This window comes from Homo sapiens, chromosome 16 (genome assembly GCF_000001405.40).
Source record: "Homo sapiens chromosome 16, GRCh38.p14 Primary Assembly".
NCBI classification, from domain to species: domain Eukaryota; kingdom Metazoa; phylum Chordata; class Mammalia; order Primates; family Hominidae; genus Homo; species Homo sapiens.
The window spans coordinates 22566021-22579637 of NC_000016.10; the positions used below are offsets into that span (position 1 = coordinate 22566021).

Consider the following 13617-nt stretch of genomic DNA (forward strand, 5'->3'; position numbering starts at 1 on the left):
GGTCTCAAACTCCTGACTTTAAGTGATCCTCCTGCTTCGGCCTCCCAAAGTGCTGGGATTACAGGTGTGAGCCACCGTGCCCAGCCCAGACTTTATTTTGTAGCTGATCTTCATAGGATTGGCTTGGATGCCTCCTCAGGTCCTACATAGGTAGATAAAATGAATCAGCACATGTTTAGTTACAAGTGGCAGAAAACCCAACACAAACTGCTTGAACAAATAAAGGGGCTGGGTGCAGTGTGCAGTGGCTCCTACCTGTAGTCCTAGAACTTTGGGAGGCTGAAACGGGCAGATCACTTGAGGTCAGGAGTTTGAGACCAGCCTGGCCAACAGTGAAACTACTTCTCTACTAAAAATACAAAAATCAGCCAGGCATGTTCATGCCTGCCTGTAATCCCAGCTACTGGGGAGGCTGAGGCATGAGAATCGCTTGAACCTGGGAGAGGGAGGTTGTAGTGAGCAGAGATCATGCCGCTGCACTCCAGGCTGGGTGACAGAGTGAGACCTTGTCTCAAAAAAAAAAAAAAAAAAAAAAAAAGGAATTTATTGACTCCCATTACTGGAAAGTTCAGGGGTAGTGTTCAGATACAGCTGGATCCAGGATCTTCAACACTCTGGGTGGGAATCTGTCTCTTATCATGTTTTTGAACTTTGCTTTTCTTTGTGTTGGCTTCATTGAGAGACAGGCTCTATGCCTGCATGTGGTAGGTTCCAGCAGATCCTTGTGTATATCCTTCTAAGTTCAAGTCCAGAGTAAAGAAAGCTCTTCCCCTAATGCTCCACTCAAAGTTCTGGTTGACTCTGGTTAAATCACATGTCCAATCCAGAACCAGTGACTGCAGCTAGGCTAAGGTATGAATTGAAATTCATCACTCCTGGAACTTGGTGCAGTTAGCTTTGACTGAACCACATGAAGCAGGAATACAAGAGAGGTGGTTCTCCAGAGGAAGTTATGAATGATGAATAGCCACTGTGCTAGAATTATGGAGACTTATGTGTCAGCCGCCTTAAATCAAGGCTTAGTTTAAAATAGTTTAACACCAAAGCATTTTGTGTGCTACTCTTGGAATTGAAGAGTAAACATTGGAATTGAAGGGGTGAACATATTTCTGTAGGACCACAGAGGAAGAAAAAATCATTAAGGGGTAAACATATTTCTGTAGGACCATAGAGGAAGAAAAAATCATTCTGGCTGAAACCTCATGAAGAAGGTGACATTTGAGTTGAACCAAAGAAAAAAAAAAAAGAATGTCTGCACTTGGAAGTGCAGAAGGGCATTTCAGATGAAAGGACTGGTTTGAACAAAGGCAAAGAGACAGGAAATTATAAGGTTTTGTTGGAGGTTGTGGAAAGGCTGGGTGCGGTGGCTCATGCCTATAATCCCAGCACTTTGGGAGGCCGAGGTGGGTGGATCACTTGAGGTCAGGAGTTTGATACCAGCCTGGGCAACATGGTGAAACCCCGTCTCTACAAAAAATACAAAAAGCCAGATGTGGTGATGTGCACCTGTAATTCTAGCTACTTGGGTGGCTAAAGCACGAGAATTGCTTGAACCTGGGGAGGTGGAGGTTGCAGCGAGCTGTGCCACTGCACTCCAGCCTGGGTGACAGAGCAAGACTCCGTCTCCAAAAAACGAAAAAAAAAAAAAAAAAGGGAGAAGAAACGTTGTGGAAAAAGATGCTGGAAAAGTTTGGATCCTGATGCAGAAGAAGTTGTATGTCCAAACTGTCTGAGGGTCATAAGAGTGACTGAAGGAAATAAGCAGCAGACACACAGGACACAAGTGCCTTTAATATTGGTGAAGGATGTAAGAGATTCGTTGCCTGAAGACACTTCCATAGATTAGGGGACATACTCAGTTGAAGTAGTATCTTAAGGACATGAACTTGGATGCAGAGGCCAGGATGGTTTGGAGTGGGGATTCCAGAGGAGTAGGATGGGAGATCAGTCAGGAGACTACAGCAACAGCTTATTTATCCCCTCAGGCCTGGGGACCTTGATCATTCCTGGATGGTTTATCTTTTATTCTTACTATTTTTTAGGCTGAATCCATTTTGCAAGGGTACCTGGATGATTCAGGATACAGTATCCAGGACCTGAAGAGCTTTCATTTGGTAGGACTTGGTGCAACCCTGTGTGCTATAAACATCACTGAAATCCCACTTATAAAGATCTCAGAATTCAGGTAACTAAAATATGAATGTGCAAAATGGCAAATGGGTTAATTCATCCATCCATCCATCCATCCATCCATCCATCCATCCATCCATCCATCCAGATATTCCACCTCCTGACACTTGGCACCTTTCTGGGCTAAAATCCCACTGGGCTAATGGGATAAGCTGGATCTGCTGTCCCTGCTGAGCCTACTGTGCAGTGTGTGTGTGTATGTGTGTGTGTGTGTGTGTGTGTGTGTGTGTGTTTGTTTGTTTTTGGCTGAAGAGTCCAAGCTCATATTATATCCCTCCCTCTTTAACCACTACCAGGGTGGTAGTGGCCAGAATTGGGACCCTGCTCTGCAGCACACATGTCTTAGCCGAGTTTAAGAGGAAGGCTGAAGTTGTGTTTGGGGATCCCACTGAGTGGACCAGTTCTGTCTTGCAGGAGCTTGGGACCATTGCAGGTAAGACTCACCCTGAGCATACCTTTCTCTCTCTTTCCAAACTTAAATGTGGGGACACAAAATAAAACATTATCCTTGGCCATGTGTAGCAAACATCAGTGGCGTTACAGTAGAACCTACATTTCATGATTTGAAGTTGCAGAGGGTGGGTCTGCAAATCTGCTTTTAAAACAAGCTCTTTTGGAGATTCTTGTGTACACTAAAGTTTGGAAAACCGCTAGTTTAGAATGTGATTTAATTGGCCCCTAAGTAGGTTTATACAAAATTTGAAAGTGTGTAAATTGAAGTTCCTTCTGGGCATGCGTTTCACTGTAGGAGGCCAATCAGGGCTAATGTGACCCACATTTTTTTTTTCTGAGTTGATGAAGGAACTTGATTCCCCAGTGTGATTTCCAGGGCCTTTTGTAAGGAATGATGCCTGCCTAGAACACTCAGATCTGAGCATTATGCAGCACCATTAATAAAACAAGCGGAGTTCTGATGGCTTGAACTAAACCCCCGTGATTCCTTTTTCTCCCCAGCTGGATTAACTAAGGCAGAGCTCCGGATGCTTGACAAGGATTTGATGCCATATTTCCAGCCATCAGCAATAAAATGCCTTCCTGATGAGATATTCAAAGTAGGTGCTCAGTTCTTCAAGGAGAAATGGGAGCTTGACCCCATTTCAAATCACACAGGGAAACAGGTGATGGGCCTTGGAATTTAGAGGCTTGTGACCAGGCTCTGCTGATGGGGTCAGAGGAGATCTGTGTGAGTTTAGGTGTTTTTAAAAAACATTTTTTCTTAAAATTACAATATGTAGTTTAATTATATTTATTTTTACGGTCATCTTCTCTTCTTCTAGCAGGTGGTACTGATTTTCTACTTATGGTGGTATGACAGGTTCATAAACCCTTACGAAAACCCCTGGGGACAGATATAGTTCAGAATTCAGAATTTCTCAGATTTTGAAAAGATCACCCTGTACATTTACTGTATGTAACTTCATACCCCCAGCAGTGTCTGGGGAAGCACCTTGTAAGCAAACACATTAATATTTCTGTGAAGAAATCTGTGACAAGCCACACTAATTGGAATAAATAGAGACTATAAATAAATAGCCTCACATTACTTCAGGTCAAGTTTTGCTGATAAATAAGTTTGACTTAAACTTTGGGGGAAAACTTGCAGTTTTCAGATTATTTTTGGACTTTGGAATTGCAGATGAGGGATTGTGGACCTCTGTAACATTTCCTTTTAAGATATAATTAAATAAAAATATTTTAGTTGATTTAGGTCAGGCATGGTGGCTCACACCTGTAATCCCAACATTTTGGGAGGCTGAGACAGGCCAATCACCTGAGGTCAGGAGTCTGAGACCAGCCTGGCCAACGTGGTGAAACCCCATCTCTATGAAAAATACAAAATTAGCTGGGCGTGGTGGTGGATGCCTGTAATCCCAGTTACTTGGGAGGCTGAGGCAGGAGAATCACTTGAACCCGGGAGACAGAGGTTGCAATGAGCCAAGACCACACCATTGCACTCCAGCCTGGGCAACAAGAGCGAAACCATCTCTCTCTCTCTCTATATATATATTTTTTTCTATATATATATATTTTTAGTTGATTTAAAGAAAAGTATTAGGAAAATCACAAGAGGACAGGTGAAAAACTGCTATGAAAAAATTGAGAGGGTGAAATTGGATCATTTGAAGGAAGGGAAGCAGGGTATCTAATGACAGGTCCTTTTTTTCTGTCTGTATACAAGATTAGGGGAGTGTTTGGTGGGAATAGTCTGCTCTGATGAGGAGGCAGTCATTCTGGTGTTCCTGTTTGCTGCGTAATGTGGGAACACATTTTGTCCAGCACTTCTGGATAAAACACACAAACCAGGCTCGACAAACTCCCCCAGTGCCACATCACTTGTTCATTTCAAGAAAGATAGCTGAGGCCGGGTGCAGTGGCTCACACCTGTAATCCCAGCACTTTGGGAGGCCGAGGAGGGTGGATCACGAGGTCAGGAGATTGAGACCATCGTGGCTAACATGGTAAAACCCTGTCTCTACTAAAAATACAAAAAAATTAGCTGGGGTGGTCACATGTGCCTGTAGTCCCAGCTACTCAGAAGGCTGAGGCAGGAGAATGGTGTGAACCCGGGGGGCGGAGCTTGCAGTGAGCCAAGATCGCTCCACTACACTCTAGCCTGGGCGACAGAGCGAGACTCTGTCTCAAAAAAAAAAAAAGAAAGCCAACCTTCAATCACTTCAGCATCCTGGACAGTTCCGAGCACATTGCAGGCATAATAGCTGTTTGAGGGCAATAAATAGCAGTCCTCAAAGCCATTGAGCAAATACCTGCTTCCCCTCTGGGGCACTCTGCATGGGACAAGCAGCTTGGTCTTGGATGCTGGCATTTTGCTAAGCACTTTCTCTTGGTCTTGTTTGGAGTGCTGTTGTGCTGCTTCCTTGTACAGGTATTTATCTATTCCAGAAATCCCTACTGATCACCTACATTGTGGCAGGCTCCAGGGTAGGTGCACCTAAGGATGCACAGGTGAAGGGGTTATCACATAGTGCCTTCAGGGGCCTAAAAGGTAACATAAGGTGCAGTAGGCTGGGTAGAGACCGAAGTGAACTGGAGAGCCTTGTCTAAATGTGGAGGCTGCTTCTCATTCCTAGCACATTCATGCAGTGTGGCCATGTGGGCCCAGGATTGCTGAATTTTCCTTTTCACTTTTTTCGAGAAGAAGTCAGAAATCTTCATTTTCATATGGAATTGCTTGATAATTAAATGTTGGCAGCCAATCTGAATTTATTTTTGAAAACACAGTGCCGTAGGCCTAGAGATTCAATCTGGCCTGTGGGTCGCAAGTCAGCAACATTGATAAAAGAGATAATTTTTAGAATACAGACTCTGTGTTAATGGTATATGGAAGCCAAAAAAGTACCTCTCTGACCACCCCACCGTGTGTGTGTGTGTGTGTGTGTGTGTGTGTGTGTGTGTGTGTGTGTAGTGAGAGGAGAGGAGGTGATGCTGAATTTTAATTTTTTTGAGACAAAGTCTCACTCTGTTGCCCAAGGGAGTGCAGTGGCACAATGATGGCTCACTGCACCCTTGATCCCCTGGGCTCAAGCAATCCTCTCACGTCAGCCTAAGTAACTAGGACTACACACTTGGCTAATTAAAAAAACTTTTTGTAGAGAAGGGGGGTCTCACTGTGTTGCCCAGGCTGGTCTCGAACTCCTGAGCTCCGTTAATCATTCTGCCTCAGCCTCCTAAAGTGCTGGGATTGTAGGCATGAGCCATGGCGCTTGACCGACCAGATGCTGAATCTTGGAGAACAGCTGGCGATGAAGAAGAAACAGTGTTCCAGGCAGAAGGAGGTGCACAGGAAGATGCTGCCTCTAGGGAACTGTAAATATTGGCACCCACTCTCCTGGAGTGAAGAATGCCATGTGTGAGGCTGGAGAGGTGGGCAGAGTTTTTTCCAGGAGCCTGAACTGTGTTCTGGAGTGGGGTTCCTGGAAGGGCTTTACACAGAGGGATATGATTCCAGGGAAGTATCTACCTGGACAAAAGAGGAGGAGAGGGTGACTGACAGGAGAGGAAGGGATGAGGGAGCATAAGCATCTTTCCCAGATTCTTCAGGGCCTTTAGAAAATAAACATGATGATATAGAGTCCCCTTCGTATTCCAGTCCCATTGGAACGAGTCACCAAGTCCTTTGATCTGGAAGTGACTTCAGAAGACACCTTGTTCACAGTCCTTGAAGACATAGTCTGGCCGGCAGAATTCCCAACTCATGTTGTCCATAGCAGATATCACCAATAGATGACTGCATTTTCCCTCCATGGAGCCCTCACAGAGCTCATCACATGGTGCTCAGGAAGTCAAACCAAAGGATCAGAATCAGTCAGCAGAGGAGATGAGTTCTCTATGCCATCTCACATTTATCCCCAAAGCCCAGGGAGGCTGTGTAATTTGTTCAAGGTGACACAGCAAGTATGTGGCAGAGCAGGGGCTCGAATTCAGGCCTCTGATCTTTAAGGCCTGTGTTTCCCCCTCCACATCAGTGTTTCAGGAGGTGGAAGACTTGAAGCACTGGGAAGCTGTCTTGCATTGCATTAAACAACATTGCCACATAGGGAGGAAATCATGCTTCCCTTTTCAACTCTCCATTAGTACTTCTAAATACCTCAAGAAGGAAGTGTCAATTTAACCCTGTATAATACATTTTATATTCTCTCTCTCTCTCTTTTTTTTCAAGAGGCCAGGGGTTCAGATATTGTTGGCGGACAAATCTAGCTAGGATTCAACAATATTGTTTTATTTTTATTTTGCGGCTCCTATTTAATGCTTGCTTATGGCAAGTCTGCCGGCTTTCCATTTTTGGAAACTTCCATTTTAAATTTTCTATTTTTAAATGCATTTACTTTGGTAGTGCAAGAGTGATCTAATTTTAAGGAAATATCTTAAAGAGGACCACACATGATACACACAAGGGGATGGCAAAGTTGTGTGCATCCTGCGCGGACGCCCGAGATGTGGGAAATCCGGGGAGGGGCCCCGTGTGAGGGTGCTGCCCCTTTGCCTCCTGCAGGAGCTGTCCGCGGAGCAGATCGCCTCCCTGGGTCCGGAGAACGCCGCGGCGGTGACCCACGCCCAGCGCCGGCGGCTCAGTCCACTGCAGCTGCAGAGCCTCCAGCAGGCGCTAGATGGCGCCAAGACTCACTCCTGGCAGGACGCGCCCGCTAGCGCCGGTCCCACTAGAACCTCATCCTCGCGTTCTCCCGCAGGTGAGCAGAGCCGCCCTCTGCCCCGCGTCCCAGCCCCACTCTCCTTCCTTGTCCTCCCTGTCAGGCCTGGGGTGGGGAGGTTCTTAAGATTCAGAGCGAGGTCTCTGACAGTCACTGGGGATTCTGCCCTCAGTGAAAAACCCAAAGTCCCTATCAAGCTTCCCTACCAAGCTTCAGAATTAGTGATTCTCAACTATGGCTGCCCTTGGGTGGGGGGCATTAAACATCTTCCAGTTCTCCCACCCCTACCCAGAACGCATAACATCAGAAACTCAGGACTAATTTCATTTTAGCCGCTCCTTTGCAAACTCCCTCCTCACTATCCAATAATAATGAACTATTATTATTATTATTATTTTGACTCAGAGTCTCGCCCTGTCGCCCAGGCTGGAGTGCAGTGCCGCGATCTCGGCTCACTGCAACCTCCACCTCCCAGGCTCAAGCGATCCTCCCACCTCAGCCTCCCAGTAGCTAGGATCATAGGTGTGTGCCACCACACCTGGTTAATTTTTGTATTTTTAGTAGAGATGGGGCTTCACCATGTTGGCCAAGCTGGTCTTGAACTCCTGACCTCAGGTCATCTGCCTACCTCAGCCTCCCAAAGTGTTGGGATTACAGGCGCGAGCCACCAAGCCTGGCCTGTCCAATATTAATTAATTCAACCCATGTTTACTGGGCACCTACTATGTTCCAAGTCTGCAGTAGGGGCTGGGAATACAGAGGTGTGCAAGATAGATAAGGCCCTCTTGTAAATGAAGAAGATATTTCAAATCTGACAAGACCAGGGAGGGTGATAGTGACTGAGGGCTGAGCTAAGATAGAGAAGCCTCCCCAGGGAGTGGCATTGGATCCTGGGAACATGGCCTTCTTTCCTTTTTCTCCCCCATGCCTTTCTTACAGCTCTCCCCATTTCCCCTTCACTTTCTCACTTCTTTGTGGTACCTTCTGTTCTTAACACCACATTTGGACCATGCTCTGGGGAGATAGCTTCTAACAAGATGGGGAACAGAGATGTTCCCTACCCTCATTGAGCTCTCAGTGCAGCCTGGCGGGGAGGGAAGACATGTACCCTGGTGAACATGAGGCAGGTGCTGGGTGCTGAGATGGGGAACACACATGGGTCAGGAAACCTCCTAAAGTCAGTGATGTCTCAGGTGAGACACAAGGTGAGAAGAAGATGGGCTTAGCGAGGTAGACAGTGTCTCAGGAGTAGGTACCGGCATGGGCAAGTGCCCAGAGAAGTCAGAGGACTTGGTGCTTGACTAAAACCTCCACTCCACCTTTTCCTGACTTGAATGTCTCCCTGTCCTGCCTTCACATAGGGATGGTGAATTGGAGTATTCCCCATTTCTGCAGCCACAAGTGGCCAGAGGTGGCACTTGAAAACATAAATCATGCCTTTTGATGTATTATATTATTACTTTAAAACACTTTTCATTGAGGCTGGGCACATTGGCTCATGCCTGTAATCCTAGCACTTTGGGAGGCCGAGGTGGGCGGATCACCTGAGGTCAGGAGTTTTGAGACCAGCCTGGCCAACATGGCAAAACCCCGTCTCTACTAAAAATACAAAAATTAGCCAGGTGTGGTGAGGGGCACCTGTAATCCCAGCTATTCGGGAGGCTAAGGCAGGAGAGTTGCTTGAACACTGGGGGCAGAGGTTGCAGTGAGCTGAGATCATGCCAGTTCACTCCAGCCTGGGCAAAAGAGCAAAACTCCATCACAAACAAACAAACAGCAACAAAAAAAAACTTTCCATTGAAATATGATATGCATATATTTAAAAGTTATTTGTAAATGTTATAGCATTTTGCATGAATAGATAATATGTGCAATAGATAATGCACAGGGTTCCGAATATGTAAAGTCTGCAAGGCATGTGGTGAAATCTTTTCCTCCAGCCCCTGTCCCCCAGCCACCCTGTTCCCTCCCCAGAGGCAACCAATGTTAGCAGCTTCTTGTGTATTTGTCCAGAGATATTCTATGCATACACAGCAAATCAAATATAGATGATCTCTGCACTTTTCACAAAAGCTTATTATACACCTTATTCTGCACCTTGTATTTTTCACCTAACCATATACTTTGGAGGGAGTTCTGTATCTGTGCACAGGAGCTGTGCCATTGTTGGTTTTATGGCTATGCCGTAACTGTATTCAACCAGAGGTCTGTAGATGGACCTTGCAGTTGTTTCTATTTTTTTTTTTTTTTGCTGTTATGAACAATGCTGCAGCTCCTGACCTGATATAATTTGCATCTGTGCAGTATGTCTGTAGGATAAACTCTTCAAAGTGAGATTGCTAGATCACAGGGTCTGCATTTATAATTTTGATGGATGTTGGTTGGATGTGGCAGCTTATGCCTGTAATCCCAGCACTTTGGGAGGCTGAGGCAAGTGGATCACTTGGGGTTAGAAGTTTGAGATGAGCCTGGCCAACATGGTGAAACCCCGTCTCTACTAAAAATGCAAAAATTAGCCAGGTGTGGTGGCACATGCCTTAGTCCCAGTTACTAGGGAAGCTGAGGCAGAGGAATCGCTTGAACCTGGGAGACAGAGGCTACAGTGAGCCGAGATGGCGTCATTGCACTCCATCCTGGGTGACAGAGCGAGACTCTGTCTTAAATTTTTTTTTGTAATGGATGTTGTCAAATCCCCTGCAGAAAGGTGTGACCAGTTTTCCCTTGAAACAGCAGTGTCAGAAAGTGATGAGGGCCCCTTAAAAAGATGTTCCCTGCATGTCCCTGGCTGGGCAAGATCCTGGATGCCCCTCCTTCATTCACCCCAAGGGCCTAAGTGAGGGCTGCCATTGGATGAACCCTTCCTATGGACCAGAGCCCTAATCTTTTCTTTCCTAAAGTTGCTTAATTATCAGAATCACCTGGGAGAGATGCTTAAAATACAACAAATTCCTGGGTCTCCTGGCAGACTTGCTAAATCAGAATCTCTAGGGGATCCTGGAATTGGTGTTTCTAACAAGCTCCCTAGTACATGCTGACTGACACAATCTCATTTAATTCTCACTCCCCCACCCCTCCTCCTCTTTGGGGGTCATTGTTCCCATTTAAGAGACGAACAAATCAAGGCTCTGCATCAAGTGGCCCCAGAGAGAGACTCGGGGAGTTGGACATGATGTGTCTACCTTCTGCTTGCTGCCAGAACTTCATGTGTACTCTTATTTTGTATTTGCTTTTAGGAGCTCTCCAGTCGTGGGGTCTTTGGCTTGGTTGTCCCCTGCTGGTTCTAATGGCCAAGCTCCTGTGGTGAGTGGCCTGAGCACATCGTCCTGTGTTGCCCCAAGCAGCTGGCCAACGTGTGTAGAGACAGGATGCTCCAGATGGTGGGACACCGTTCCCTGGATCCAGACCCTCATCTAGGGCAGGGAAACCCTGGGGCCTTGATGGTGAAAATGCACCCCAAATGAAAAATAATTATTAAAAATGATCTTGCAAATTATTTTTAATTTTTTTAAATTTTAATTTTCGTTAGTACATAGTAGGTATATATATTTATGGGGTACATGAGATGTTTTGATACAGGCATGCGATGTGTAATAATCACATCATGTAAAATGGGGTATCCATTACCTCAAACCTTTATCCTTTGTGTTACAAACAATCCAATTGTACTCTTTCAGTTATTTTAAAATGTGCGATTAAATTACTATTGACTATAGGGTCGGGTGCAGTGGCTCATGCCTGTAATCCCAGCACTGTGGGAGGCCGAAGCAGGTGGATCACCTGAGGTCAGGAGTTCAAGACCAGCCTGGCCAACATGGTGAAACCCCATCTCTATAAAAATACAAAAATTAGCTGGACATGGTGGTGTGCGCCTGTAATTCCAGCTACTCGGGAGGCTGAGGCAGGAGAATCGCTTGAACTGAGGAGCCAGAAGTTGCAGTGGGCAGAGACCATGCCACTGCTCTCTAGCCTGGGTGACAGAGTGACGTTATCTCAAAAAAAAAAAAAATTACTGTTGACTATAGTCATCCTGTTGTGCTATGGAAAAGTAGGTCTTACTCATCTTTCTGTTTTTTTTGTACCCGTTAACCATCTGCCTCCTCCCCACCAACTCTCCCATTACCCTTCCCAGCCTCTGTTCACTCTCCTTCTACTCTATCTCCATGGGTTTAATTGTTTTGATTTTTGATCTTGCAAATTCTTAAGCCCACTCATCTCCTCAGCAGGAAGCCCTTCTCTGTCCCATTGCAGCCTCTTTTGTTTTCCAGCTTGGAGACAGAGAACCTGTGGGGAAGGAAGGGTGTTTTCTGTTAACAGCACGAGACCCTTACAATCAAGTTGCTGCCCTCACTTTAGAGAGATACCAGAGAGAGGCAGTGCAAGAAAAGGCACCATTTTAGCCAGGGCCTCATCTAGTTTCTACTTGGGCTTAATTTCACTTTCTTGAAGCTACAGGCTACATTGGATTTCTCCTCTACGATATTTAGCAGAGCTGAAATAAATGAATCCCTGAGCAGAAGCCAATATTCTTGCCTGATTGCTGGGACTAATTGATGTTTTGGTGGGCATTGCATTGGTTGGAAGTTAAAACATTTAACATGGCTCAACGTTAAATCAATTTAAAAATACATTTTTCAGGTGTCTTCCATTTCCTTGGGACTCAGCTGAATGGATGGCTGTGAAGTTATCATTAAACTCTCAAAATATTCCCTGTTTTTGGTGGAGATGGTGGTGGCTCTTCTGGTTTTAAGTTGCTCTGGGCTTTGGGGAATTGGTTGAAATAAAAAATAAAAGTACATTGGGTAAGTCAGTCACTGATGTGATCCTGGCGGGCTGAGAAAACTCCACCCACTGGCTCGATCCTGCTAGAATGAAGTTACTTCCGGGAATTGCCAGGATGCTTTTAGCCTTAGGTTTAGGAAGTCAGGGCTCAGGGAAGGGGGGCAGCAGTGGTGTTTGCAAACACCTTCTCGAAGACAGCATCACAGCTGCTTGTCAGGGCGTTTCCCTGGTGGCATCCTAGGTGCTTCTGTTCTGCCATCAGCACACCTTGGGTTCTCCTCCTAGTCACCTATCCACAGTAGACATCTCATCTGGAGGTAAGAAAACTGCATGTTTCCGAAAATCTTGGTGTCCCTAAAAGGCGGTGGATTTTACAAAGCGTCATGAGTAGGTGTTGCAGAGGCTGGAGTGTATTTTCAGAGGTCACGTGGTTTTATAGAAAACTAAGACTGCAGTGTGAAAGGTGTGATCCTGTGATCCTGCACGTGTTATTTAATGTCTGACTTGGTTTTCCTTCATCCTGGCAGGGAAGTAGCAGCAAATGGGTGCTCCTCAGGTACAGAACATTAATTTTTTTTGTTTTTGTTTTTGAGATGGAGCCTCACTCTGTCACCCAGGCTGGAGTGCAGTGGCATGATCTTGGTTCGCTGCAACATCCACCTCCCGGGTTCAAGTGATTCTCCTGCCTCAGCCTCCTGAGTAGCTGGGATTACAGGCATGCGCCACCATGCCCAGCTAAGTTTTGCATTTTTGGTGGAGACGGGATTTCACCATGTTGGCCAGGCTGGTCTTGAACTCCTGGCCTCAAGTGATCCGCCTGCCTTGGCCTCCTAAAGTGCTGAGATTACAGGCATGAGCCACCGTGCTTGGCCCAGAGCATTAATTTTCTTACAAACAGCAGCCCCCAGTTTAGCTGGGCTGGACCAGCTGCTTGGAGAGGGGTTCTTGATGAAAACCTGTCTGCACAGACTCCCATGAGGATGTCCTTGGATCTCAATCGGTATTCTCACTTTCTGCCAGTCTTGGATTATCCTGGACAAGAAAAAGCAAACAGTAACAAAATCCACTCTCCTGCGAGTCAGGCTTCACACTGCCGACTTCATGTAGCTTTTGTATTTCATCTCTCTTTCTGGTCATTTGTTTCTGATCTAATTCCTGTTTCTTTCCTCCCATCTTGAATAATGACTCCCATTACAGAGGTCTGACTCTGGGTCAGGCTGTCTAAGGGCTTTCACTGTGTCATTAGCTCATTTCATTGTGGCCATGCTCCTGCCAGGTAGGCACTGTTAGGATTCCCATTTACCAGATGAGGGGACTGAGTGTGAGAGAGGTTAAGGAGCTCTTGTCTAAGCTTCCCAGATAGGACAAATTTGAATCCTGACTTCTTTATCTCTGTACTGTGCTGCCTCCTGGACGGGTGTCCTTTAACTTCTCTAATAAGTCAGATCAGAGAGAGATTCTGTAAATCCCTTCACCTCCT

General features: G+C 45.9%; 1 long non-coding RNA gene and 1 pseudogene across 3 annotated transcripts in view, besides 1 other annotated feature; one reads left to right on the top strand and one right to left on the bottom strand.

The window, feature by feature from the left end:
- Positions 1-10845, top strand: part of OTOAP1 (OTOA pseudogene 1) — a 31168-nt pseudogene extending 20323 nt beyond the window's left edge. The window contains exons 5-9 of the transcript NR_003676.3: positions 2043-2185; positions 2487-2623; positions 3145-3242; positions 7202-7397; positions 10592-10845. The product of NR_003676.3 is annotated as an OTOA pseudogene 1 (transcript). The remainder of the gene's footprint in view (positions 1-2042; positions 2186-2486; positions 2624-3144; positions 3243-7201; positions 7398-10591) is intronic.
- Positions 8305-8508: a silencer, noted in NCBI's record as "fragment chr16:22585646-22585849 (GRCh37/hg19 assembly coordinates)". NCBI's record gives its function as "represses an EF-1alpha promoter that drives an FKBP-Casp9 reporter gene in an ReSE screen in K562 erythroleukemia cells {active_cell/tissue: K562}" and the evidence as "EXISTENCE:reporter gene assay evidence [ECO:0000049][PMID:32094911]".
- A 598-nt stretch (positions 10846-11443) lies between the features above and the next one.
- The window catches only part of LOC112268175 (uncharacterized), a 30600-nt gene continuing 28426 nt past the window's right edge, over positions 11444-13617 (bottom strand). Inside the window, exon 4 of one of the 2 annotated variants that reach the window (XR_002957911.2) lies at positions 11444-11639. This is a non-coding gene — a long non-coding RNA (uncharacterized LOC112268175). Of the gene's footprint in view, positions 11640-12973; positions 13170-13617 lie in introns of those variants that run through there. The other variant, XR_002957910.2, reaches the window with a different exon arrangement.